The following is a 27,639-nucleotide window of genomic DNA, read 5'->3' as shown; positions in this document are numbered from 1 at the left end:
TCTTTAAGCACATGTTATCCTCTTAATATACACACGTATATGTACATATGTTTGTATGTCTACATGTGATGTTGCTCTGCAAATTCAGGGCAGTGTTTGTCTCAAGTTTATTGTACTTCTGGGTCATAGGTATCTCATGCAAGGTCTCCTTTTCAATACCTTCTTGTCTTTACGCTGGGAAGAAAATGAATTCCAATATATGTCTATACTCAAAGATTAACTGACTCCTAGACTTGGCTTAATTTTTTTATTTACCCACATAAAGCAAGATAAGTTAGTAAATTGTAGGAATTCCTTTGCCAACAAAGCTTGCTTAGATGTCATATCTACTGTTTGGGGTTGGTGCTTTTCCTATAACAAGATTGCTATAGAAAATGTTGCTGTTAGCTTTGCAGGTGAACCCTGCAGGGGCAACTTAGGGAATAGGTGCTTAACTCCATAGGTTCTCTCAGTGAAGGCTTTCTGCTGCAGATCCCTCCTGAGGCCTCTTGGTACACCCTTACCTCCTACATTAACCATACATCTCAATTTTCTTTCCCTTTCACAGACCCCCTGCCATTGTTTCAGGTCCTTACCCAGAGGCCATCAGCATCAATAGATTCTTGTTGTTTAGTGATCATGCAGTCAGTTGAAGTCTCTGTGTCCTCAGTGGATGACCAGCATAAATAACAATACTTGAGAATGATAACTCTGCAAACATCTTCAGCTAAAGATGGGACTCCCTCACCTTAAAGCAAGATCAGGTGCCAAGATCTGTAGTTCCCAAATGATACAAATTAGTCATCACCTTCCTTATCCACACATTTTGCAATGGGAGTAAAAACACTACCTTGGCAGGAATGAATGGCTGGGGTTTTTATTAGGGAAGCCTGGTCCAATTAGATGTTCAGCCACCTCAGGACTCATCTGCAAACCTCTTGGGGATTTGAGGAATTATGTTGCAGGAAGTGCCAAAACCAAGTGCTCTTACCAGGCAGCAGTTTCCTTCCTTCTCTTCTGGCATTATAGAATGCACGAGAAGGGACTTTTTAGATCTCAGAGAGTTGAGCACTCTTTTTTGGCAAAGGAGAGGACTAAGGCGAAGAGATGGCCAGAGGTTCTGCCCCACTGTAGTCACTGCACTAGAACTCAGCTCAGCATTATTACTCCCTGACTGCAGTCCTATCTATGTACCACCTTGTTTTTTTCATTGCTGTTTCCCATCCCTCGGTGACTAGAGCAATGAATAACTCAAGTTCAAATGTTTACCCATCCTCTATTTTTCACAATGTATGGTGGGACAGGTGGCTTCAGCAAAAGAATCTCAAGCTGCTGTCTTTTGTATGTTCAGATGTCTTTCAATTTTGCCCCTTCAAATTGAAATCAAAAATGTCATCTGCCTTCAGGGGGTTCCAAGTTGAAATAAAAAATGTTATCTGCCTTCAAGGGGTTCCAGATTGAAATAAAAAATGTCATCTCCCTTCAGGGGGTTCTTGATGGACATCTTTCCTTTCTGTGGAGTTTGGAAGAAAACAGGTTGATTATTTAATTGAAGTCAAGAGGATGAAATAGATGCCCATTCAAGCTCTAGCCTAATCATACCATTTGCTAATGTATCCTTCTGACATGAGAGCATGGCTTTAATTAAGGCAGAAATCATAGCCTCTTGAAAGACTTGAGCAAGGAAATGTAAGAGCCCTAGGATCCAGCTCTATTAACTTGGTTCCGCATATTCCATATTTACTAAAGATAGAACTGCACCAGGAAGACAACTGGTGAGGATTGGACATAGCCACATGAGGATGCCTCACACGGTGGTGTACCATGTTAAGTTTGCCACAGTGCAGGACCAGTTCTCAGTCTCACAGGTCTATAAAACTGGGTTTTCAGCCACTGAAAGTAGGTGCATTTTCAGAGGCAGATTCATCCTAACCAATCTGGCAGATACTGGTGTATAAAACCAGAAAATTCTAATCCTGTTTAATTAACTTATATTTGGAACTATCCCTGTCTTGTGGTCTGAAATATTTATGTTGGCATGTCTTCTCTCTATTTGAAGATTTCCACAGACAACCATATTATCAATAATTTGGCTCTTGAGCATCAAATCAGAAAAAGGGATGGTAGATGATCTTTAAATGACATCAGACTACATTAGTTTGATGTCTTCATCTCCATATAGGAATATGCCAGTAAAATAGTAATATTGAAGGTCCACTAGACAAGACTTCTCTCCCCTGATCAAATCTGCTTGTGCAATTCAATTCTTGTCATTGTAACTCTGTTTATGCCTCCTTTCCAGATCATCTTTTCTCCTGATTGACACCATTTCTAAGGATTTGTTGTTATCCTTGTTCTCCCAACTGTTTCGTCTTACTGGCTTAGAACCATTCTCTCTACGAGATGCCTTTGGCTCCCATCCATTTAGTGTGGACTTTGTACTCTATCTCATACAATTTCATTACTTCCAAAATTTTGAGGTATAACTCACCATTGCCAACTCCTTCTCCAACACAGATACCAACAACAGTGTTCACATGTAGAAGTTTGTTCCTTGTGATTTGGCGAATGGTTGCAGTCTAGCAAACCACTGTTTCATTAACAGCAATGTTCCAAAGCAGTAATCCAAACCTTAATGTCTGTATTATCGGTGCTACTAAGGATCTCCATCACTTTTGCTGTGGTAATTAAGTAGTATAAGATTTTCTTCAGCACTTTGGGGACTGAGTTAAGAGACAACAGAAAGTAGCTTTGTGCAGGCCATTCAATAGGAAATTAATTAGGGAAATACACAGCCATGGTCTATGCCGGGAGAGAGGGATGACAGTTTCTTCCTCCCACGGACAAAGCCAAGCACTCCATATTTGTTCCTGTAGTGATGAGATCACTTCTTACTAAGTGTCTTTTCTTGATTATCTTTCTTAGCTGCTTATCTTCCAAGAATACACTCTCCAGAATAGTGTGCACTTGTTTGTGAGGGGAAGGATGTTTGTAAAAGGAAAAAAAAAAAAAAAAAGAAAGCACAGTGAGTCAGTCCTCACACACAGCATCTAACCATCACCAACACTTAGAATTTTCTCCAAATACTTGTGATTTAACTTAATTGAAACAGCTGTTTTACAGGGTTCCCGTCCAGGGATGTTGGTGTTGCTTTGTGGCAGGAAAGGATAATGAAAGTGAGACAGAACTTTTGGCTGTGGGAGATGCTTTTGGTTAAGTGGGAGGCAAAATGAGATAAAACTAAGTCTAGTGAATTGAAAGTTAAGTTGGGAATAAGACAACTGAAATTATAGAGCTGGGCATTGGGAGATTTCTATATTTGCCATCCTCAGCCTCAGTTGCCATTTTTTAAACGTGCACACATATTAGTCCTTTCCATGAGGCTTCTCCCTGCCATACTTAGGAAACCACAGGGCAAATCACTGTCCTTCCTTGAGCCTTGGTTTACCCATCTAGAAGTGCTTGGGATGTTTAACGTTATATTTAGTGTTTTGAATATTCAAATAGTTTCTCCTCCACAAGTAGAGTTCCAACACGCAATTCTCAAACCCTTTTACACCCACTTCAGCAGAAAATCTAGTCCATCTCTGTGTTACCCAGTAATGTTTTTGGCTGCAAGTAACAGAAACTCTGACTAACAGTGACTTAAATATATAAATGTTTATTTTTCTTGCATAATGTGAATTCTGGGGGTAGGCAGCTGCTGGCTTCAGTTCAGTGGCTCAATTATGTCAGGACTGCTGCTTCTGCAGTTTTCTTATCTGTTCGCCTTTGGGGGTGAGTTGGCCACCATAGCTACCGGCAGCAAATTCTCTTTTAAGGCTGCTATAAAAGGGCCGAGGGAGGGAGGATGTGATAGCAGCTGTGAATGCTTTTTTTTTTTTTTTTTTTTTAGAAGAACAAAAACTTTCTCCCAACATCCCTAGCAGACTCATGCTCAGGTCTGATTGATCAGAATTCTGTCACCTGGCCAGTCCTAGTTCATGGGAAGATGAACACAGCAAAACTCTGCCATAATATATTTAGTGAGGTCTAAAATGTTAATTGCACAGGATGTAGGGTTGCATTGATTTGAGTTGAACAAAAATTATATTTTTAAGTCCATATGTACTGTTATGTAACAATACTAAAACACTTATTCAGCTGGCCATCCACTAAACTGAGAAAGTCTCAAAGTCACTTCCTAGTTACACACCCTTCCTTCTGAAGAAGAAAAAAACTTCAGCCCACAGACGGGAGCTGGGCAGAGCATGGGAGCCATCCCTTGCTTGTGAATGTGTTATTGTGGGGTGCGTTGTGGGACCACAGGATTTTATTCCACAGAGTTTAGCTTTACTGTGGAAACAAGCTAAGGAAGAAAGGAAGGGATACTAGGTTATCTTGTTCACAGTGTCTGCTGAAATTCTCCCTTAAGTCTTCCCCTTCTCCCGGCCAACCCTATTCCAGGCATTCCTGTTGTTTCTTTTGTCTTGTTGTGTTTAAATAAGAAACCCAACTACAGAACTATAGACCTAACTTTATAAAGATGAAGGTGCCACAACTGACATCAGAAATAGATTGTTTTGGGGTATGACTTCATGGTGTGAGGCCATGAGCCAGCTTTTCAGAGGTGCCTTTGTGAGGGTTTTGCATTCTTTGCTACTCTTTGAGTCCACCCAATAAGAAAATTTGCGTTATCACCCTATGGAATATTAATCAGAGTGAAAATGAATGAACTATAGCCACATACAACACATGGATAATCTTTTTAAATAATTTGGAATCACAAAAGCAAGTCCCAGAGGACAGCTTGTACAGTAAAGCCCTCTTGCCCTTTTTATAGAATTCAGAAACCAAATACACTTAAATGACAAATTGTGTGTCTCTGTGTGTGTGTGTGTGTGTAATGAATCGTAATAAAGGAAGACAATGATAAATAATAAGTGCAAATTTTGGGACATGTCAATTCTAAAGGGAAGGCAGGAGAATGGGATGAGAGGAACCTGTGGGTAAATGTAAGTTACTAATTATACTAGTTTACTAGGGCTGCCATTTAAAAAAAAAACGCCTCAGAGTGTGGCTTAAACAGCAGAAATGTATTGTCTCACAGCTCTGGAAGCTAGAAATACAAAATCAAGGTTGGTTCCTGCGAGGGCTGTGAGGGAAGGATCTGTTCCAGGCTCCTCTCCTTGGCTTGTAGATGGCTGTCTTGTCCCTGCATCTCTTCACATCATTTTGCTTCAATGAAATTCTGTCTCTGTTCAAATTTCCCCTTTTTATAGAGAAACCCATCATATTGCATTACAGCCCACCCTAATGACCTCCTCTTAGCTAATTATACCTGCAATGCTTTTATTTCCAAATAAGGTCACATTCAGAGGTACTGGGGGTTAGGACTTCAACATCTGAATTTTAGGAATACACAGTTCAACCCCTAAGGTGGCTATTAGGTTATAATCCCTGCTTGGGATAAAGGATTATGGGTTTTCATTATATTGTTAAAATAATTAAAAGAGGATTATGCTTGAACTAACAGTTGTCATGAACCAAAGACTACAATTAATCCAATTCCATGGACCTGAGTTCCATAAAGAGGAAAACAAGAAAGAAAACCAACTCAGATGCCCATTCTTGATGGTAAGTCCTAGGCTTCAGCTGTGACTGGATTCTGAGCTTTAAACTCTGCTAAGAGTCAGTCTCTTGCCACCTCCTATCTCTGCTTTCTGCCTTAATTCTCAGGCACCATGTGGTTGGCCTGTGGTGGTGCTTGTCTGGACAAAACTGTGGATTGTCTCTCCAGGAGACAACTGTACTCCCTGGGGTTTGACTCCCTCAAATGATTGCTCCGGGTGCTCAACACTCTGCTGATTCACTCCTCCCTCATTTTCCCAAGGTAAGAGCGCTGCCCTTGGAGCACTGTGTATTCCCTATCCATTACACTGTACAGGTAACATTCAGGGCTTCCACCTGGCAGACAGAGACTCAGGCCCCACGCTTCCTCTTGCCAACCTGGTACTGGGGTATGCCCTCGTGGTCATTGCGTTTCTGGTACCCCATTGCCCTTCTTACTATTGGGTCTTCGTCAAAATCGCTTATTCTGTCTAGACAGGTTTCCATCACTTTTCGGGAAAGGGGTGAGGATTTTGATAGATTTTTCCAAGAAGGCCCCAGAATCTCTAGGCAATATGTGTCACCCTCCCTAGAGCTCTGCATAGCAAGGGATATTGATTGGGACAGGCAGTCTTGGAAGGCACATAAGAAACAAGGGATCTGTTACACATTTTCTCCAGGGCTCTGGGTATCTGCTTGCCTTACATTTATGAAACAAGCAACTTTTTTCTTAATAAAGAGAAATTTTTTAAAGTGATAGTCTGTCTCCAGTCCTATTCAGGGAAGTGGTTGGTATAATTTTTTTTTTTAAAGTTTTTCACCTCATCAAGTTCCCTAAAAGACACATCAAATTAATAGACTAGGAAAATAATCTCAAAGTTCCTCTCTTGCTTTATAGTTTTTATTCTATGATCTCTCCTGGAGCTAGGGAGAGTTTTTAACTATTTGGTGATCTTCATATGAAATACGCCACTTAAATAAATATAATACTCTTCAACATTTTTCTCTGAGTTTTTAGGCTACCTGGGATTTAAAAATTGCTAAAAACTCTAAGCCAGCCTCCAAGATGGATCCCAATGAGCCCTTCTTCCTAGCATTCACACCCTCGTGTAGTCTCCTCCCATATTGTACCAGAGTTGGTCTGGGTGACCAATAACATACAGCAGAAGTGATTAGACTTGCAAGGACAGGTCATAAAGGGCTTTATGGATGCTATCTTTTTCTCTCTTGGACCACTCACTCAGGGGGAAGCCAGCTGCCATGTCATGAAAACATTCAAGCAGCTCTCCGGAGAAGTCCACTTGGCAAGGAACAGAGGTCTCCTGCCAAAATCAGAAAGGAATTGAGACTCCCTGCAAACAGTCATCTGAATGAGCCCTCTTGGAAGTGGGTTGTCCAGCCCCAGTCAATCCTTCAGATGATGCAGATCCAGCTATAAAGACTCTGAGCCTCAACTATCAGCTAAGCCACTCCAGGTGCCTGACCCACAGGAACTGTGAGATGATAAATGTCTGATATTTCAAGCTGCTTAATTTTGGGGGTAATTTGTTATACAGCAATGGGTAACTAATACAAGTCCTAAAACTAAATGAAAGAGCTGTGCAGGAATAAGATACACAAATTGGAGTTACATTCTCGACCAGGAATGGGTAAGGCTGGCTTAGTCTCTGCTCTGGTTCAGCTGGAGGATAATTGTCTAACTTGAGGAAAAGTTTGTCCTGTGATAGTGACAGTCCCTGGTGAGGTGTTTTTGCCTCATTTATCCTTGTATTGCTAGCTCCATCACATCACTTGACCTGAAAGAGGGCCTTGATGAATTCTGGTTGAATGATTGACTGAAGAAATAATGAACACCTCTGTTTCTTCACTTAGAAAAAGGTGAAGGCTTATTGTTGTTCCATAACCTTCTTCCAAATTTGATCAAATTAAGTTAGGGGATATATAATAAGAGGGGCTGGAGCATTTTGATCTAGCAGACAAGAATGCTTGGAGATGCCATCATCCTCATGGATGATTTATGGAATGGTGGACTATCAGGATCTCACTCTTAAGTAACAGGGAACACATTAAATATACTTTGGAAAAATTAGCTAATGAAATATCATGTAGCCATTTGAAACAATGTTGCAGAACTATATTTTGTGACTTGAGATGTTTATAATATTTTGATCAGAACAGAGTCTGCCACATTAAGTAGGATCTTACTAAATATTTGTTGAATACGTAGATGAATGGAGGTTTAGAAGAGTATAGGCTACTTTTCATATAAAAATACTAATATATTCAAAGAGAAAACCACACTTGGTATAATATTTTTCATGTCAATACTCTGGTTGTGGAAGCTGTTGGGGTGGCAGTGGCATAAGGAGCTGAGTCCTTGAATGGTATGTCTGGGTAAAAATTTATGGTAAGTAGTTTTTTCTAAATAACCTAGATTATTTTTCTAAAGAACTGGATTATTTTTTGTTTGGCTGAACAATGAAATAATGGGCATAAGCAAACTTGAGGCTGAGTTGAATTGCTGTCCATAATAAAAGAGATGGCCTTGTATGGCAAAGGAGGAAGTAGTTAAAATATATTTGAGCTACTTTTAATGTCCCCTTTGTGAGGGATTATACATAGGAAAAAATCCCAGTCGGAGGAGTCAAATCCTTGCATTACAGACTGTCTGCAGTCATTAATTAATGGAGTAATGCTAGTTAAGATTCATCTCTCTGGGCCTCAGTTTCCTTATTTGTAGAATGGGAGCATGCAAGTTTGGAGACTGAAGTGAATCTTGGTATTTGTGGAACAGACCAACAGAATGATCGATGAGCAAAAAATATACACTGGAAATAATTGTTAAAGTTGGTATTGTTTTCCATTTCAAATTTTAGAGTTTTAGTGACGGGATAGGGTAGATTATCTCTGCTAATTTTTGTGTTTGTATGTGCAAAGATGATAAGCATTCACTTAGAGTCTCCAATTCAAGCAATTCTCCATTTTAGAAGGAGACTATAGAGTTGCTTGTATACTTTCTGAGCAAGAAGAAGAAATCTTTTTTATTTCTATCATCATTCTTAAGTGAGAAAAATGTCAGCATTTTTAGGATTGTCATAGCTTCCTGATATGTCATAGAAAAAGAGGGAAGATTACAAAGGAGCAACTTAGCACTTATCTTGCTGTCTCTTCCAAAGTAATGCTTCTCACATTAAAAAGAGGTAGTTTCAGAAGATATAAGTAAAATCTACTTTTAAAAATGTACATACTCCATCTGATAACACTTGTATTTTCTAGACACACCTACAAGAAATATAGTCTCATTTTTTATATTATTTCTTGACCAATCACATTATTACCCAGGTTGACCATTTCTTGATCTAAATGTTTTGGTTGCTGGTAATTCCCAAATCAAATGGATCCATAAAAAGAATAATTTGAGATGATTAAAGATATTAAAAGAATTCAATGCCGACTTTTAAGATGATTTTAAAAGTTTCACAAATTTTTTTTTAAATTATATCATCCTTGAACAGGGACTTTACCTGTTTTGCTCACTGTTAACCTGTTAACCCAACAAATACTTATGAATGAGCAAATGAATGAATGGCAAATCTGATAAGGACAATGCTAATTCAGATTTAGAATGTTTTATATATATAAAATATATTAATACAATGTTTGTAATTACATATTATATACTTTATTTTTACACATATTATTTTGTATAGATATATAAATTATATAGTGTATATATAATTTAACAATGAGCAAAACAGGTGTATAAATTATATATTGCATTGAGCAAAAGAGGTGTATTAATTATATATACACAATATATAATTTATATACCTCTTTTGCTCGCTGTTAAATATGCAATATATTTTATGTAAATTATATACACGGTATATATTTGCATATGCAAATTAATACTGTGTATATAATTTACATAAAATATATTGCATATTTAACAAAGCTTTCCTAGTATGCTTGCTAAAAGCTCACTCACAGTGCCTTTTAGTGCACATTCACACATTACACGCATTATCACACACCCCTTCAGCAATCCTTCATATGCTCCTGGCTTCATCTGCTTCCAATTCCAGATGTCTCTGAGATGACCAGCTTTGTGGGTTCCAAGCAACTTCACACACTCACTACCTGGAAGCCTCTTGGTCCCAGCCCCAGTGCTTCTCTGTTGACATTGAGGTGTGGACCCCTGCAGTACTGTGCTTGACACCTAGGCACATATAAGTGGAATAGTGGAGGAGTTACATGCCTGTCTTAATTTGCTCAAGCTGCTGTAACAAAATACCACAGACTGGGTAGCTTATAAACAACAGAAATTATTTTCTCACAGTTCTGGAGGCTGGGAAGTCCAAAATCAAGGTGCTGATAGGTCTGGTGTCTGGTAAGAACCAGCTTTCTGGTTCATAAATGGTGCCTTCCAGCTATGTCTTCACATGGTGGAAGTGGAAAGACAGGTCTCTGAGGCCTTTTTTATAAGACACAAATCCCCTTATGAGCCCTCATAACCTAATCGCCTCCCAAAGTCTCCACCTGCTGAAAGCATTACATTAGGGATTAGGTTTTAACACATGAATCTGGGGGAAAACACAAACATTCAGACCACAGCAACATTTTGGGGCGAGGTTTGATCTGTGAGTGATGGAAAGTGGTGGATATTTCCCCTTCTTTCCCTCTAGTAAGGTGGATGCTGCTGAGATGTTTATTCCACCTCCTAGAGGATGCTCCAGTGAGGGTGCGCCCTCAGACATACTTAGAGGTGACCAGCCCAGCTCAACGTTGGCTCATACTGGCTCTGCCTCCTTCCCTGCTCCACTCCCCATGCCCCTCACCCTGGCTCCTGGGCATGGATTTCCTAGTATATTATTGGCCCAAGCCTTTGGCTCAGGATCTACTTTCTGGAAAAGCCAGGCTGAGGTAATTCCTAATGTTTGATTTTGGGTACAGGTTCTACATCCAGTTTTTCTTTTTCACTCCCATATGTACACAACTTAACCACCACTCCATTCCTTCTTGAAAGGAAGCAACTGTTCTAGAAATAATGAAATAATCAACCTATGGCAGGGTAATTTTCTGGGATGTTAATTTGTGTGTGTGTGTTTTTCACACCATCAACCCAAATCTGCACACAAAATTTTCTACCAAAAGTAGAAGGTACTTTTCTCTCACTTATTTTCAAAAGTCAAAATGTTTTGAAGAGTTTCTAAGCACTCTTAGGGCAGTTGGAAAAGAAAGGAAGTCTTTGAGAATACTTGGCAGAGGAGAGGGCAAACTTTGCTGAGATACTAAAGAGAGAGGGCAGAGGTCAGGCTAAGAGACAACTGTGGGAGTGACATGAGAGGAGTGTGGGACTCATGCCCTCTTTGTGGCCAACCTCAGAGCAAACTATGATGTGCTTTGGAAGGCTGGTCCCCAGGCAGTGGGGTGCCAGCCTCAGTAAAGACTCCGAGACATCATGTATGTATGGCAACTGAGACCTAATGCTTCAAGGGAATAAACGCTGGTACAGTGCGCAGTCTGGTGGTACCTAGCATGGACCCATATCAGGAAGAATCTTCCTGATGTCTTGGCCTGAGGTAATACCCCAAGAACTTATCCCAATCCTGAGGTCAGTTCCAATATTGGCAGGACTAATTGCTTGCCACACTGTGTGGATTCAAGAAAACAAAGAAATGGACATTCATCACACATCCTGTTTTTGTGGACTGGGATTCACACCTGTAACAAGCCTTTTTTTTTCTGTAGTTCATTAAATTTTTCCGTGGTCTAGCTGCCCCAGATCTATACAAAGGCACCCCCATGGCCTTGCTTAGATTTTTTCTTCTCGCTTTCCCTAAGGAGGAGGGGGCATTTAGGGAGGTGTTATTCAGCTCATCACCACAGCCTCAAAGAACGCTACTTGAGCTGTTGAACTGTTTGTATTCTGATTGTAAGGATTAAAGGTCAGTAAAGGCATGAAAAGAATTAGCCAAAGCTAGTGACAACCTGGTGAGGCAATAGCACTGTTGGACTTAATGTTATGTTACTGCCATTGACTGCTGCAGGTGAGTCTACAGAAGCTATCCTGTTGAAGGTCATTCTGGTCAGAAGAACTGGCATTTGGATGATTTTGTTTATAATGAATTATTTCTCAGAAAATGGCTTTATGCCACTACTTGCTACTATTTTGATGAACAAAAGCCTGGAATGATAAAGGGCAGTATGTATGGTGTAGTGTGTGCACATGTGCATGCATTCTGGCTCGTCATAAACAAAAGCCAGTTATTTCTCAAGGGACATAGGCTATCCTAAGTGCACTGCTGAAAGAGGCTTATATTTCTAAAGATAGTGGGTCACATGATGAAATGATGAAACTGAATTTGCTGGCTTTTCAGGCTCTAGTTGTTTATCACGAAACCTAGGAAAGTGCATTGCTATAGCTTGTGTTAAAATTCCAAATGATAAAGGCAATTGGCAAATGCAACTTGGACACCCACTCCTTCTCCTTGGCAGGGATAACCTTTCTTTGACAAAAATATTATTGCTCTTGAAACCTATGCTAGCATGGGTGGAAAGTCATTGCTGACCATTGACTCTGGAGGGGAGGAACCTGAAGATGCTGATTAACTTTTAACAAGCATCTATATTGCGCCAGGCACTATGTCAGGAATTTTGCATATGCTACGTTACTTCATCTTTATTACAACTCAGAGAGAGAGGGCATATTCATATCTCTTTGGGTAGATGAAGGAACAAAGACTACAAAGTTACCCAGCTGGTAAGTCAGTACTGTATAAGTCAGCTATTTCTACATAACCAGCAGCTACAAAATCACAGTGGCATAAACAATAAACATTTTATTTCTTAGTTCTCTGTGAGGGGTCTGGGGTGGCTTTGCTCCATGTATCTCATTCTGAATCCCAGGCTGGAGGTGTGTGCTACCAAAACTACTTATTCTCATGGGAATGGCAGAAACATAAGCAGGTAAACCCAATCACACAAGCACGTTGCAAGCCTCTGCTTGCCTCATGGCCACTAAAATCTCATTGGACAAAGTAAGTCATGTGGCCAAGGCTGAGGGAGCAGGGAAGTACATGCCTCCTATCACTGGGCCATGACAAAGGAATGGGTATATGATATTTCTATGGGAAAGAGAAGACTTGGAACCAGTAATTCAATTACCATAGTGAATGCCAGAGATTGTATTCTAACATAGGTGTGTCTCAAATTCTCAAGCCCAAGTTCTTTTGGCCATGCCAAATATGGTGAGGAGGCATTTCAGTCCAATGCAACTTCTCATGGTACAGCAGGAGAATGACGTGTGAGGCTGTGGGAGGGATTGAAAGACTGTGTGTGCAGTGCCCCAGGGCTCAGTCTTAAAACCTCTCTCCTCCCCTCTCCTCCCCTCCCCTCCCCTCTCCTCCCCTCCCCTCCCCTACCCTCTCTCCTCCTCTCACTTTCCTGGTGATTTCATCTAGTCCCATGGCTTTTAAAAGCCATCTGTGTGTGGATGGCTCTGATTGTTTATATCTCCAGCCTGGACTGCTTCCCTGCACTTCACATATCCTCAACATCTCCACTCAGCTGTCCAATAGGCATCCCCAACTTAAGACGGCCAACCCTGAACTCCTAATCATCTTCCCCAAAATCTGCTTCCCTCACCAAGATGCTTTATCTCATCTCAATAAATGACAACTGTGTCCTTTCATTTGCTCAGACTGAAATCCTTGACTCCAGTCTTCTTCTCATAACCTGTATCTGGCCCACCAGCAATTGCCGTCAGCCCTATCTTAATAATATTTCCAGAATCTACACACTTCACATCATCTTCACCACTATTACTTTGGCCCAAGTTCCCATTATTTGCTGTCTGGAATATATTAATAGCCTCTTAACTAGACTTACTGCATCTGTTTTTTCCTGTTTTCAATAGCAACAGCAAATACCTATTTTAATAGCAAATACCTATTTTCAGTAGCAATCAGAGTAGTCTTTGAAAATGTAAGTCAGATCTTGTTATTCTTCTATTTAAATTTTCCCTGGCCTCACAGCTCACTGACAGGATAGGACAAAGTTTTTATTATGGCCTAGAGGTTGCTACCCACTTCTCTCTGGCCTCGTCTCCCATTGGGCTCTCCCTCCTTCTCTCCTTTCCAGGCACATTGGCCTCCGGGCTATCTTCTAACACACAGGTTTGCTCCCACCCAAAGCCTTGATGAAAGTTCCTCTCAATGCTTATAAAGCTCTTCCCTCAAATATCTAAGTGACTTTGCTTAAATGTTCCTTGTTAGTGAGGCCTTCCCTATTTACTATCACAACATCCATCCTTCCTGAAATCCTGGCACTCCCTATTCCCTGTCTCTTCTTTACTGTTTTCTTAGCACTTATCACCCTCAATTGCATATTTTTTCTTCACAACTTGTCTGTCTTCTAGAATGAAAGCTCAGTGAAGGCAGGACCTTTTGCCCGTTTGATGTACTGCTGAATCCCTCATACTTAGAATAATGCCCAACACATAATAGGTGCCCTGCAAATACTCACTAAATGGATCCTTGATTGTGATGGTGGCAGAACTGATTATCACTCCACTAGTGGTTGAGCACTGGCGGTTGTTAATTAAATGGATTTCAAAGCAGGGAGATACTTCTAGAGTTTAGCAAATTGAGGCATGCATGCTGTTTGCTGTTGGTTAAAGGGAAATGCCGTAGACACTGCAGTACGTTGTTCAAATTCCCCTTCAGGATCAAGACACTCATTTCTCTAGCCACCAGCAGGGTTGGATGCTAACTGCTGACAGCTGAGTCCTTTTCAAGGAATTTCCCTTGTTCAAGGGAGCTAAATTACCCAAGTTGACACCTTCTCCCTCAGGGCACCAGCATTTGATAATCAGCTGATCAGGGGTATAAGCACCTGGCCTTTGTGCCACACTAGAGACAAGTCTGAAGGGTCACCTCAGCTTCAGAGCTCCTTATGGAGTCCACAGTGCAATTCTGCTTCTCTCTCTGTACTGTCCTACCTCAGTTACTGCCCAATAAACCTAATTCAAAACTCCATCTCAGAGTACGGTTTCAGGAAACCCAACTCAAGACAGGCAGTGATTTCCTTATGTTTTCGGTTAGTCATTCAGGCAATGTTCATTAAATATTTACTATATGCCTGGCATTGAGAAAGGATCTAGGGATGCAATGGTGAATATGGTAGACCTTGGCCTGTGTCTGCTTATTGTCTGGTAGTTGAAAAACTTGGGAAAATGCAATTATAGGGCTATATGATAAGGATATGAAGGGGGTAGTCTTGGGATGCAGATATTACCCATTACTGCAAATGGTAAAGTCAGATTGAAGCAGAAAATGTACAGGCATGAGGAGGAGTATGATATGTGGCTAGAGAGATAGCTAGGAGTCTACTCAAAAATGAACTTGTGAGTCATAATCGGAGGACAAGGGGAAATCTCAAAAGTGATGAGACATTTCAAATAAGACATAATCAGATTGCTTTTTTAGAAATTATCTTGGTGATAGTCACTGTACAGCCTAGATTAGTAAGATCTACTGATAACAAAATTCTTATGGGTTCTAGGTTACGCCCCCACAAAGCCATCTGTCAGATTGTTCTTTCATTCGACAAACACTCCACTTTCTCTTTGAGCGCATTCTTTTTCTTTCATTCTGGGACTTAGGTCCTTGTTGATCTGATTGTATTTTCCTTCAAGCTAATATTATGGAGAAATCTGTCTGGAGCATGTGACTAGAGAGGGAGCTGGGGGTTGTGTCTTAGTGAGAGAGGTGGAAGTAAGCAGTAATTACACTGTATGATTTGTATCAGTTCATCTCCCAGATTTTCTGGGATCTTAATCCACATTTTATGGATCAGTCACTTAATACTGTTACTCTATTGTAGTAATTTGGGTGTGTGCTCTATTGCCCTTATTCAATTCTAGGTTATTTGAGGGCAAGACTCGTGTCCTATATGTCTCTTACTTCACTATGCACTGTGGGAAATCAAGTCTTGAATTTTGGTTGGTAGAATGAATGAGTGTATCCCGCTGGTGGCAACGGGAGGGGGACACTTGGAAAGTATTAACAGGAATAGCAAAGAAGCAACAAACAATGGCCAACAGCACTCTTAACACTGGTTTTCTGTTTACAATTCATCCAGAAAGTCTGTGATAGGATATCAAATGGTACATATTAATTATAGCTTTCTTACTTCTGCTTTCTATCATGGGTGGGGATTTTTTAGATAGTTGAAGAGAAAGAGAGAAGTAATTTTTGGGAAATGGCAAGCAACAGCAGTAATGAGTGGAACTTTGGGGAGAAAAATAGCTGACGAGGATCATTAGGATTTTTTTGTATCATAAAATGTAATATGCTTCTTTGGTGCCTCAGAGATTTCAGTAAATATTTAAATTACTTGTCAATGCTTATATGAATGCCAGTTTTTATTTTTTGTAGGATACTCATGCTGAGATGGCATTAAGAAGCCTCAGTTTTAGTTACATGTAATACTAGAAAACAGATTTCTATGAGGCTGTTTAGAAAGTCCTCTTTAGTTGCAGTGGACTGAGATCACGCTACTGCACTCCAGCCTGGTGACAAGAGAGAAATTCTGTCTCAAAAAAAAAAAAAAAAAAAAAAGAAGGCCTGGTGTGGTGGCTTATGCCTGTAATCCCAGCAGTTTGGGAAGCCGAGGCAGGCGGATCACCTGAGGTCGGGAGTTCAAGACCAGCCTGACCAACCTGGAGAAACCCCATGTCTACCAAAAAAATACAAAATTAGCCAGGCATGGTGGTGCATGCCTGTAATCCCAACTACTTGGGAGGCTGAGGCAGGAGAATCGCTTGAACCCAGGAGGTAGAGGTTGCAGTGAGCCGAGATCGCACTATTGCACTCCAGCCTGGACAACAAGAATGAAACTCCATCTCAAAAAAAAAAAAAAAAGTCCTTATTAACGCAAAGAATGTCCACAGACTTGTCTTGGGGAATTGTCTGCCATATGCACAAACTTCCTGAGTCTTGTAGATAACATCAGTGACAACAGAGGGCACCAAAATTGGTCATTTGAATCCTCTGGGAGACGTGTCTGGTCTGATCACCAAAACATCCAGTGAGCCAGAACATTTCTCTCTCCCATAGGGACCCTTTGACCTCCTTCTCCTTCTCCCATCCTTTTGTAGATTCAGCCCCACTCCAGGTTCTAGGAGAAACTACAATCTTGGGCTTCTGCCCAATATGCTGGACTATTGAGTCATTTGGGCCACTTATTTGCCTCAGACCTTCTATCTTAATTCTTAAGATAAAATTTCTGCCTCGTCCCTAGATTCTCCCTATGCCCCAAGCTACACTTGGGAACTCTGCCTTGTTCTCTGTGCCTGAGATCCCACCTTGGCGACCTGTCAGGGCTCTCTCCTTGTTTTTTTGCCTGGCTTTTATTCACCTCTGGAGTTTTGTCTTGACCCTAGATTAATGCCTTGGTCCCTCAGTTCCCACCTGGCCAATATCCCTAATGCAGGTCCCTGATTCTGAAGAGAGCCTGCTCCAGGATTGTCCACCACTGAAGTGGAGTGTACAAGGGCTTTGGAGGAAGGCAGTCTTGCATTCAAATCTAGGAATGACCGTTCACTACTTCTGTGACCTTGGGCAAGATTCTTAGCCTCTCACAACTACAGTTTCTTTATCAGAAAAAAGTGGGACTATCAGTATCATATCTAAGAGTTGTGATGATAAAATGAAATAACTAGTAAAGCATTTAAGGGCTCAATAATGCCACCAGCACTGCTGCTGATTTCATTTTCAGCCCGCCCCTGTGAGCACAGTTCTATTCCCAATATTACTGGTGATCACCTGGACCACCTGTTATAGGCCTTGGCCCTTCCCAGATCATCATGTTCCATTGTGGTTCTCGCGGTTATGCCTCAAACACGTTAAAATATGACAAATAATGTACCTTCATGGAAATCCTGGGTTTGTGTGCTTAGGTACTGAGCATTGTTTCACAGACAGAAAAAGGACAGATAACTATTTCCCCACTATTGTTGATACTCTTTAGTCCCTTTGGTTTGTATTTGTGTTAGGTCCTGCCCCAAGCGGTGTCTCTAACTTACTTTCACAAGTAGTCCAATATGCAGTCAAATATTTACTGCATATCAACCAAGCCAGGCACAAAGGGGGTTACCAGGGCTTATATGATAAGTACTAACACTCAGCATCTATTATTCAGCAGCCATTGTCTCCTTCACATCCTGTATATAATCAAATTCTCACAAAGCCCAGTGAGACAAATATTATCCCCACTTTATTGATGAGTAAATTACAAGTTTCATCAGAAACAGAATATGAGATTTTAGTACATATAAGTTAGCTGGGACATCTAACCAAAGAGGTACAACAGTAACTAAGTCTTGCCCTGCTAATTAATTGGCTCAGTTTTGTTTTGTCAAAATATATTTGCAGAAGAAAATATCTAAGCAGGATCGGAGATGGTGTTTCCTAAGCCCTTCAAGTTAAGGATACAGAAACCACACCAAGAGAGGTTATATGACCAGCTGACTGACGTGGTAATAGGGAAGGAAGATTGAAATTTGGGCATCCTGTTCTTAGATTGAGATTTTAGAAAGAGAATAGAGAAGGCCTATAATGTGAAAACACCAAGTTAAAGTAAAATTCTTTTCCAGAATTATATATTCATAGTTTTTCCATTCTGTCCCTGGGTCTGCTTTTCTTCGCATCCATTTCTATTTTTACTCCTGACCAAGTGCTATTATGCCTCTCCTGCCGTGTGAGGGGCTGGGCAGAATGAGAGAAACACATGTGGCCTGTTAGGAGTCCACGTTGCTGCTCTTTGCCCTCAGAAAACTATCTTAGGAGGTTTTGGGGCTTTTCCCCATTGCTGCTGTTATTACTAAAGCTTTGCTAGCAAGTTTCTATCATTCTGGAGTTTCTGTTTTCAGATCTCACTATGAGAATCATAGTCTGGCGCTCAGAAGGCAGGGAGGATGGGGGCGGGGGGCAAGAACAGAGAGTGCAGTGGAAGCAACAGTCTGCAAGCTCACTGGGGCCCAAGGCATGCTGGCTCACTCAGCTGACCATGATCCTTTCCACCCAGCCACCAGCTGGCCAGCAGAGAAGACCAATGGGGACTTCCCAGCAACCACAAAGTTCCCAAAGTTCACCCTCGGCCTCCTGCCCTCCCATTATCACAACAGGAAAGAGCCTTGACAAGGTGCCAGAAATTATTTCTCACCCATAGGCTCACTTTCCCAGGTATTTACATCTTTTAAGACTTTCATTCTTGCTTGTGGAAAGGGAGATTTTGTTTAAGGTGGCTAGATGCTAGTCATTAGCTGGGGGCATGGCTTTGGTGTTAAGGAGTCTCAGAAAGGAAGCTCTGGAAGTTGTTAGACCTGGAGAGATACTGGATTTTGTATATTTGGAGAGTTAGCTCTTCCTCGCAGTTTCCCTTCTGTTACGGGCTGCATTACGTTCCTGTACCCATTCACATGTTGCAGTCCTAACCTCCGGTACCTTATAGAAGGTGAGCATATTTGGAGATGAGGTCTTCAAAGAGATGATTAGGTTAAAATGAGGGCTTTGAGGTGGGCCCTAATCGTATATGACTGGTATCCATACAAGATGAGGAAATTTCGACCTAGAGAGAGACATACACACCAGACATGTGTGTGCATAGCAGAAGACCATGTGAGGACACAGTGAGAAGACAGCCATCTGCAAGCCAAGGACAGACGCCTCAGAGAAAACCAAACCTGCTGACATCTTGATCTCAGACATTTCGCCTCCAGAATTGTGAGAAAATAAGTTTCTGTTGTTTAAGCCACCTCATCTGTGGTGTTTTGTTGTGGAAGCCCTGGAAACTAACACACCTTCCCTTCTGCTGCCAGAGTCTCAGAAACCAAGATATCAGGTCCATCCTCATGTATTATCTCCCCTGTTGGATTTCCCATTCCTTCATGGAAAAATTCTGATTGTCTAAACTTTTTGCAGTTCCTTTAGGTCCTTGCTGCACCTGAGACAGCAGAGGAAGAAGCTAACAGAAGGCAATATCTTTTTTTTTTTTTTTTTTGAGGCAGGGTCTTGCTCTGTTGCCCAGGCTGGAGGGCAGTGGTGCAATCTCCACTCACTGCAACCTCCACCTCCAGGGTTCAAGCAATTCTCCCACCTCAGCGTTCCAAGTAGCTGGGACTATACAGGCACACACCACCACACCCGGCTAATTTTTGTATTTTTTGATAGAGATGGGGTTCTACCATGTTGGCCAGGCTGGCCTGGAGCTCCTGAACTCAAGGGATCCGCCCCCGTCGGCCTCCCAAAGTGCTGGGATTACAGGCATGAGCCACCACACCTGGCCAAGAAAGCAGTATCTGAAAGGTCTCCTGGAGGTAGCAGGGAATGCAGTAACACAGCACTCTCCGGATTGGTTAGCTTCTGAAGAGAATATCCTGGGCCTTGATGTTTTCAAGCATCAATATCCCTAAGCTGGTGTGTGTGAGAGAAGGACACGGATTATCCTGGAATGATACATAGTGTAGAAGAACAGAGAACTCTGATGCTGATTACAGAATAAAAAAGTGAGACGAGAGAAAAACCCCAAACTTGGGTTGACTGTGTATAAGAAATACTAATTACAGTCATTTCTGTGAACTGCTTACCATTGATAGCTAATTATCATGCAGCATAATAACAATTATGTATATCATTAAATATGTATCAGATTCGTTTTATTTGATTACAATAATAAACTCCAGAAACATACAATGTCAGGCCTAGAAGACGACCTTGGGGATCAATGTCTAGGTCTTTCCCTTCATGTTTGCAGACGCTGAGGCTAGTCTGTGGCAGATGTTTTTGGCAATGCTGGGATGAGAACATGTTTGTGGCATTCCAAGTACACTCCCCATGGGAAACCAGCATGAGGTTAGAGCCAGAAATCAACAAGAATTGCATCCTTCCTGACTTGTATTGAAGTGGTACCTAGCCCTGTCGCAGTTCCTGGCAGTGATTGAACTTATCCCGTGTATTTGTTTGTCCTGTTTTCAGGCTGTAGTATTAGAGTAGTTGCTCAATAACTAGTTCTCAGATGGAATCAATGAATGAATGACTCCTCAAGGGAAAGACTCTGATAGAAGGATCACATTTTAGATGTGTTGACCAGCCCTAAAGGCCAGTGCTGAGGTCTGACACCACAGTTTTCTTTCTGCTTTCCTTATTTGATCATAAGAATCATCTGAGAAACTTTAAAAATATACACATTCCCAGGCCATTCCCCTGGAAGCTCAGCTTTGGTCAACCTGGGTAGAGTTCCAGGAATTTTTTTTTTTTAAACACTCCAGGAATTTGTTATGTTCAATGTATTTAGAAAACACTGATAACTATAGTTGTATCATATTGAGAGCACGTCGATCAACTCACAACCTAAAAGAAACAGAGAAAACCTTAATTCGAGCATTTCCAGGAAGAAAATGTCATGTTTAGTCACCATTGGATTGTTTAAAGAATCCACTGGTGTTGACACGACGCGTAGCATCTGAGGAAAATGAGCATGCATGCTTTTAGCAAATTATGTCATGCCAGGCACAGCACTAGGTGCCAGGGGGGACAGTGGCATGGGACAGATGAAATCCTTGCATATAAGAGAGCCCACTGCCCAGTGGAGAGACACAGGAGAGACTGGGCAATTCTTCCCATTCACTTATTAAGTTATAATTTACATAGAGTAAAATTCACCCTTTTAAGTAAGTGTACAGTTCTCTGAGCTTTAAAAACACAGTTTTATCCCCTTCAAAAGTTCTCTGTGTCCCTTTGTAGTCAAGCTCCAGGGAGACCAGCTGTCCCAATTTGTCTAGGACTGAGGGGTTTCTGGGATGGAGACATTTTGAGCTAAAACTGGGACAGTTCTAAGCAAATGAAGGTGATTTGGTCATCCTATTAAGTCAGCCTCTCCTTCTGCTTGCAGCCCTCGAAACTGTTCATCTGTTTTTGGTCCCTATAGTTTTACCTTTCCAGTTTGGAATCATACGGTATGTAGTCTTTCGAGTCTGACTTCTTTCACGTAGAATAACGAATTAGATAATTTTTTCACGGTGTTGTATATATAAGTAATTTGTTCCTTTTTATTGCTGAGTAGTATTCTACCACATGGATGTATTACAGTTGTTTATCCATTCCCCAGGCAATTTTAACTGAGTGTAAAATCTGTGTTAGGGTTTGAGTGACCTCTGCCACAGGATTAGGGGTGTGCTGCCCCTGCTACCTGCCTGAGTCTTGTAGGACTACTCTCTGTGGTCCCGTGAAAATGAGCCTTGTCCGCATGAACTTCCACTACCATCTCTCCATCCTGCAACTTAACATGTGAGTGCAAGACAAAGGAGGAGGGTGGTGAGCAGAGACTGGAGGTGACACAGCTGTGGCAGGGCTTACTCTGAAGGATTCTAAAGTACTGCATACACCTATGCAGGATTCATTTCACCCTGGAAATATAGCCCTGAAATAGAGCATGAGCATCAGAGAGAGGAAGTCAGTTGCCACCTTGCAGGATCACAGCAAGCGAAAGAGGAGGAGAAGAAGAAAATGTACATCTGAAGCATTAGAGAAATGCCTCCTCTCATTAAAATGTGCCTAGGTTCAGCAGATCAGACCCAGGTCTATTAAACATCCAGGGAAAGTATTCCTCGCCATCAACTAAATAAAACTCATTTCATTTCCTTGAGAAGGTAGGAGCTGAAGTCACTTCCAGTTAATAAAAAACTTAAGGTGGGCAAAATAAAATAATCTCACCTTGACTCAGGAGGATATCTTTAAACAGTAACAGCAAATCCAACTCTTTCCCCCTTTCTTTGCCTTTTCCAAGAATAGACTGCAAAACCCAGCCATGTTTGAAAAGAATATGCATCTGCAGCTCTCACTGCAGTCTATAAAGCTCCTGACATTTTCTCCAGGTCAGAGACACTGCATGCAAATACCTGTCTATCTATTCACATTCTGCCACTCAGGCAGTGAGGCAAAAAATCTGGACTCAATCCCTGCCTTGGGATAATTGCTTAGCAAACAGGATGCACATAATCCATTTTCATTATTAATACTCCAGTTAGGAGCCAGGCTCTATGTTTGGTTTCTCATAACGAGAGCTGCCTTACAATGGAGGTGATGCAATCTACCATTCAGCTCACAGCATCGAGAGGAGGCAAAGAAACGCCTCCTGTGGCAGATTTAGATTCCAGGCATTTCTGCTCCCCATAAAGCAGTAGGCTAGATGGGCCCACTATTGAAGAGCAGGACGTGCTGATTTTCCTGCCTGGGTGATTCTGTAAAAATGTCTTGCCTTCTCATTTGTTTATTGTATATTATATGTTCTTCATCTGGGTCCGATAGCTCCTTCGAAGGCATCTGCCCCATACGATTGCACACCCAGGGAGTGAAACTGCTGGCATGAAGTACAACAGAGTTTGAAAGTGATTGTCAAGCAGGGCTAATTCAGATGTAACCAGCACAACCCTCATGGCTGGCTCAACCACACAGCGGAAACCTGGTTAGTTTTTAAAGGTTATTTTTTTTTTTTTAAATGCTTGAACTAGAGATGTTTCCTGAAGAGAGTTAAAGGACTTCTTGGTGAAATCTGTTCTCCTTCTCCTGCAGCATTCATTCCATCTCAGTGGAAGGTGATTTGCTATTAAAAGTAAAGATAATCCATTATCACCCTGAGTCTTGAACTGCCAGGGGGAAGCCTGTAGCTGACTGGGAGGAAAGGCTGATAACTTGCATTTAAAGAAAAAAAAATATCAATTGCCAGTTGGTGTCTTGCCATCAGTGAGAAATACGGCATAAATTTGTCCACAGTCAGAGGGACTGAGTCCCTTGGAGAATTTGCAGTGGGATTTGAAGCCTTCCTATTTACCTCTAGGTGATTAGTTAGAGCCCAGTTTGGATCTGCAGTGACTGAGATGGTTATTTTTATCAAGCTCTTTGGTGACAGGTGTCTGTATTACAAGAAACAAATTGGCACTAATTGGGCACTCCCATTGGCATCTTGGCAGCAGAGAGCAACCACGGCTTGATTTAGGGAAACTGCACATTTACAGGCAGGGGACACCTGTGCTGGACATACCCAGTCTGTTTTGTTGCTGCTGTTTATTTGTTTTTGTTTGTTTCAAGAATTTGAGATATGCTAATTTTAAGTGTGGCAGTTGTCACCAGCATTCTCTCCTACCCCATCACACAAACACATATCCATGAGAGAATTCTTCAAAATAGCGTGCTGATCAAAGGCCTGTCAATCTGTTTATCTGGGATCATCAATGAGAGGCACTGGCCAGTGACTCCACAAGGATCAAGACAAAAGTTCTCAGGGTCAAGGTCATTGTGTTTTTTGTTCACCAGTGTATCTGGCATCCACTTTGGCATGTTGCAGATGCTGAATAATTGTTAAATGAAGACATATTTGTTTAATTAATAGATGAATGCTCCCTCTTTCTCTTTTCTCTCTCTCTCTCAATGTGTTACAACTGCCCATGAATGGCAATTCTTTCCAGTTGAATCCTAGATATTCGAAGTTGTACTGAACCTTAGCAATGGTCTGAAGAAACTACCATCATTGTTCAGATGAGAAACATTAGGGGCTTGGCGAGATGCGTGACTGAGCTGACAGCAGGATCTGTTTTCTGAGCCCTGGTGTGTTGCCATCTCAATGCTTCTTCTGAGAAAGAGATTTCAGAACACAGAACATCGCTGTGAATGAACAGCACAATGGCTCATGAATAGAGAAACCTGATTTCTATATTGGGATCCTCTCCTGATTATGTGGCCTCAAGAAAATCACTTCACATTATTGTGTTTCTGTGGTTTATGGTCTATTTGGGGAGATAGACAAGTAACCAGGCAATCACAATAAAGAATGCAACATTGGAATAATAAAGGAACAACTTGGAAGACACAAGCCAAAAAATACTAGCACAATATGGGGGCAGATTACTTTTCAGCTCTAAATAACTAGTACGTTGGACTAGAACATGTAAGGCTCACAAGAGGTGGCCCTTGATTTATTAAGTCTTAAGGGCCCATGCGGCGATTTCAGAAGTGACTCGCCCAGCATACTGTAGTGATCCACCAGGGGGGAGTAGAGGTCAATTTGTTCTGTACCAGAGGAGGTGAAGTGATTTGTGTTTTGTAATTAAGGGGAGGTAGGAGAGAGGAAGCAAGACTTAGGCTAATGCAAATTCAAGGTGTCCTATTCTTACAGCATCTTCCATACCAGTGGCACCTACGTAGAATGACTCAAGTTTTGAGCTCTCACTGTGAACCGGAAGCAACTCCTTGCAATTTCACACCATTGTGGTAGTTTTCCAGAAATATAAGTCTAGGGAGAAAGGATGATACAGGATGGCTTCTTGGCTACAGAAAAATTAAATGTCCATTTATCCATAGCAAGGAACACATAAATAGATGGTTTTCTTTAGCTATTCAGAAACTGGACCATTCAGACTTTTGCTGCAGCAACTAGCCCAACTGATGAAGTTGGTTTCCGTTATCTTTTTCTAATGCAGATGTTTATAAACTTTCAAAAAATGGACAGAATGAAAAAAGATGTAGTTTAATCAGACAAATGTATAATAATTTCTTTATTTTTATTTTATTTTTTGAGACAGAGTCTTACTCTGTTGCCCAGGCTGGAGTCCAGTGGCACAATCTCGGCTCACTGTAACTTCCGCCTCCCAGGTTCAAGCAATTCTCCTGCCTCAGCCTCCTGAGTGAGTAGCTGGGGTTACAGGTATGTGCTACCATCCGCCGGGCTAATTTTTTGTATTTTTAGTAGAAATGGGTTTTTACCATTTTGGCCAGGCTGGTCTTGACCTCCTGACATCACATGATCTGCTCACCTCGGCCTCCCAAAGTACTGGGATTACAGGTTTCTGTCACCATGCCCAGCCTAATAATTGCTTCATAGTAGTCTTTTTTTAAAAAACTTGACATCATAATTATATGTATTTATGGCATACTGAGTGATATTTCAATACATATATACAATGTATAATGATCAAATCAGAACAATTAGCATATGCATCACCTCAAACATTTATCATTTTTTTCTGTTGGGAACATTCAAAATCCTCTATTCTAGCTATATGTAAATATATAATAAATCGTTGTTAACTATAGTCACCCTACAGTACTATGGAGCACTAGAACTTATTCCTCCTATCTAGCTGCAATTTTGTATTCATTAACCAACCACTTCTTACCCTCTTCTCCTCCCTCCTCTTTCCAGCCCCTAATAATCACAATTATACTCTCTACTTCTATGAGCTCAACTTTTTTAGCTACCACATATGAGTGAGAAAATGTAGTATTTATCTTTCTGTGCCTGATTTACTACACTTAACATAATGCCCTACAGACTCATTCATGTTGCCTCAAATGACAGGATTTTATTCTTTTTTAATGGCTGAATAGTATTCCACTGTGTGTACAGACCACGTTTTACTTAACCATTCATCTGTTTTTGGACACCTAGGTTGATTACATAGCTTGGCTACTGTGACTAGTGCTTCAATAAATATCAAGGGGGACAGATAGCTCTTTGATATGTCAATTTCCTTTTCTTTGGCTAAGTACCTAGTAGTGGGATTGCTGGATCATATGATAGTTCTATCTTTAGTTTTTTTCAGGAACCTCCATACTATTGACCAAAATAGCTGTACTAATTTGTATTGACACCAACAATGTGTAAGAGTTCTCCTTTCTCTGCATCCTTGCCAGAATTTGTTATTTTTTTGTCTTTTTAAATAATAGCCTTTCTAACTGGGTTGAGATGGTATCTCGTTGTGGTTTTGATTCACATTTCCCTGATTAGTGATGTTGAGCATTTTTAATATACTTTTTGGCCATTTGAGAGATATTTTCACCTGAGAAATATTTATTCAGATTCTTTGCCCATTTTAAACCAGATTATTTTTCTTGCTATTGAATTGTTTGAGTTCCTTTAATATTCTGGATATTAATCCCTCATCAGGTTAATAGCTTACAAATATTTTCTCCCATTCTACAGGTTGTCTCTCAGTGTGTTAATTGTTTCCTTTGTTGTGCTTAAGGTTTTTTAGTCTGAAATAATCCAATTTGTCTATTTTTGCTTTTTTGCCTGTGTTTTTGAAGTTGTACCTATAAAATCTTTGCCCAATGTCATGAAGCATTTCTCTCATATTTTCTTCCAGTAGTTTTATTGTTTTAAGCCTTACATTTAAGTCTTAAATCCATTTTTAGTTAATTTCTGTTATGGCGATAAATAAGGGTATAGTCTCACTCTTTTGCATGTGGATATCCAGTTTTCTCAGCACCATTTATTGAAAAGCCTGCCATTCCCCAGTGTGTGTTCACGGTGCCTTTATCAATCAGTTGGCTATAAATGTATAAATTTCTTTCTGGCTTTTCTATTCTGTTCCATCAGTCTATGTGTCTGTTTTCATGCCAGTACCATGTGTTTTGGTTATTTTAGCTTTGTAGAATATTTTGAAATCTAGTATTTCTGGTATAATACTTCCGACTTTTTCTTTATGCTCAGGATTGGCTATTTGGAGTCTTTTGTGGTTCAATATGAATTTCAGGATTGTTTTTCCTATTTCTGTGAAGAATGTCATTGGTATTTTGAAAGAGATCGCATTAAATCTGTAGATTACTTTGGGCAGTACGGTCATTTCATAATATCAGTTCTTCCTATTAATGAACATGAGATTTTTATTTTGTTGTAGTTATTGCTTTCTTTGTTCCATTTTCAGCTAGTTATTGGTATATAAAAATGCTACTGATTTTTGTATTTTGAAATTTTACTGAATTCCTCTTTCAGTTCTAAGAGTGTTTTGGTGAGGTCTTTAGGTTTTTCTATATATAAGATTATGTCATCTACAAAGAGGTACAGTTTGACCTACTCTTTTCCAATGTGAATGCCCTTTCTTTCTCTTGCTTAATTTCTCTGGCTAGGACATCCAGTACTATGTTGAATGCGAGTGGTAGAAGTGGACATTCTTGTCTTGTTCCAGTTCTTAGAGGAAAACTTTATTTTCCTCATTCAATATGATGTTAGCTG

General features: G+C 40.7%; 1 long non-coding RNA gene across 1 annotated transcript in view, besides 4 other annotated features; it reads right to left on the bottom strand.

The window, feature by feature from the left end:
* The window catches only part of LOC105375951 (uncharacterized), a 261,361-nt gene that overhangs the window by 67,956 nt on the left and 165,766 nt on the right, over positions 1–27,639 (bottom strand). The window lies entirely within an intron of this gene.
* Positions 15,035–15,084: an enhancer, noted in NCBI's record as "active region_28131". NCBI's record gives its function as "activates an Ori minimal core promoter by ATAC-STARR-seq in GM12878 lymphoblastoid cells {active_cell/tissue: GM12878}" and the evidence as "EXISTENCE:reporter gene assay evidence [ECO:0000049][PMID:35858748]".
* Positions 18,265–18,544: an enhancer, noted in NCBI's record as "active region_28130". NCBI's record gives its function as "activates an Ori minimal core promoter by ATAC-STARR-seq in GM12878 lymphoblastoid cells {active_cell/tissue: GM12878}" and the evidence as "EXISTENCE:reporter gene assay evidence [ECO:0000049][PMID:35858748]".
* Positions 18,665–18,944: an enhancer, noted in NCBI's record as "active region_28129". NCBI's record gives its function as "activates an Ori minimal core promoter by ATAC-STARR-seq in GM12878 lymphoblastoid cells {active_cell/tissue: GM12878}" and the evidence as "EXISTENCE:reporter gene assay evidence [ECO:0000049][PMID:35858748]".
* Positions 22,782–22,831: an enhancer, noted in NCBI's record as "active region_28128". NCBI's record gives its function as "activates an Ori minimal core promoter by ATAC-STARR-seq in GM12878 lymphoblastoid cells {active_cell/tissue: GM12878}" and the evidence as "EXISTENCE:reporter gene assay evidence [ECO:0000049][PMID:35858748]".

The sequence above is a fragment of the Homo sapiens genome, chromosome 9 (genome assembly GCF_000001405.40).
Source record: "Homo sapiens chromosome 9, GRCh38.p14 Primary Assembly".
NCBI classification, from domain to species: Eukaryota; Metazoa; Chordata; class Mammalia; order Primates; family Hominidae; genus Homo; species Homo sapiens.
The sequence above is the reverse complement of the archived record's forward strand: the minus strand, read 5'-3'. Positions and strand labels throughout refer to the sequence as shown.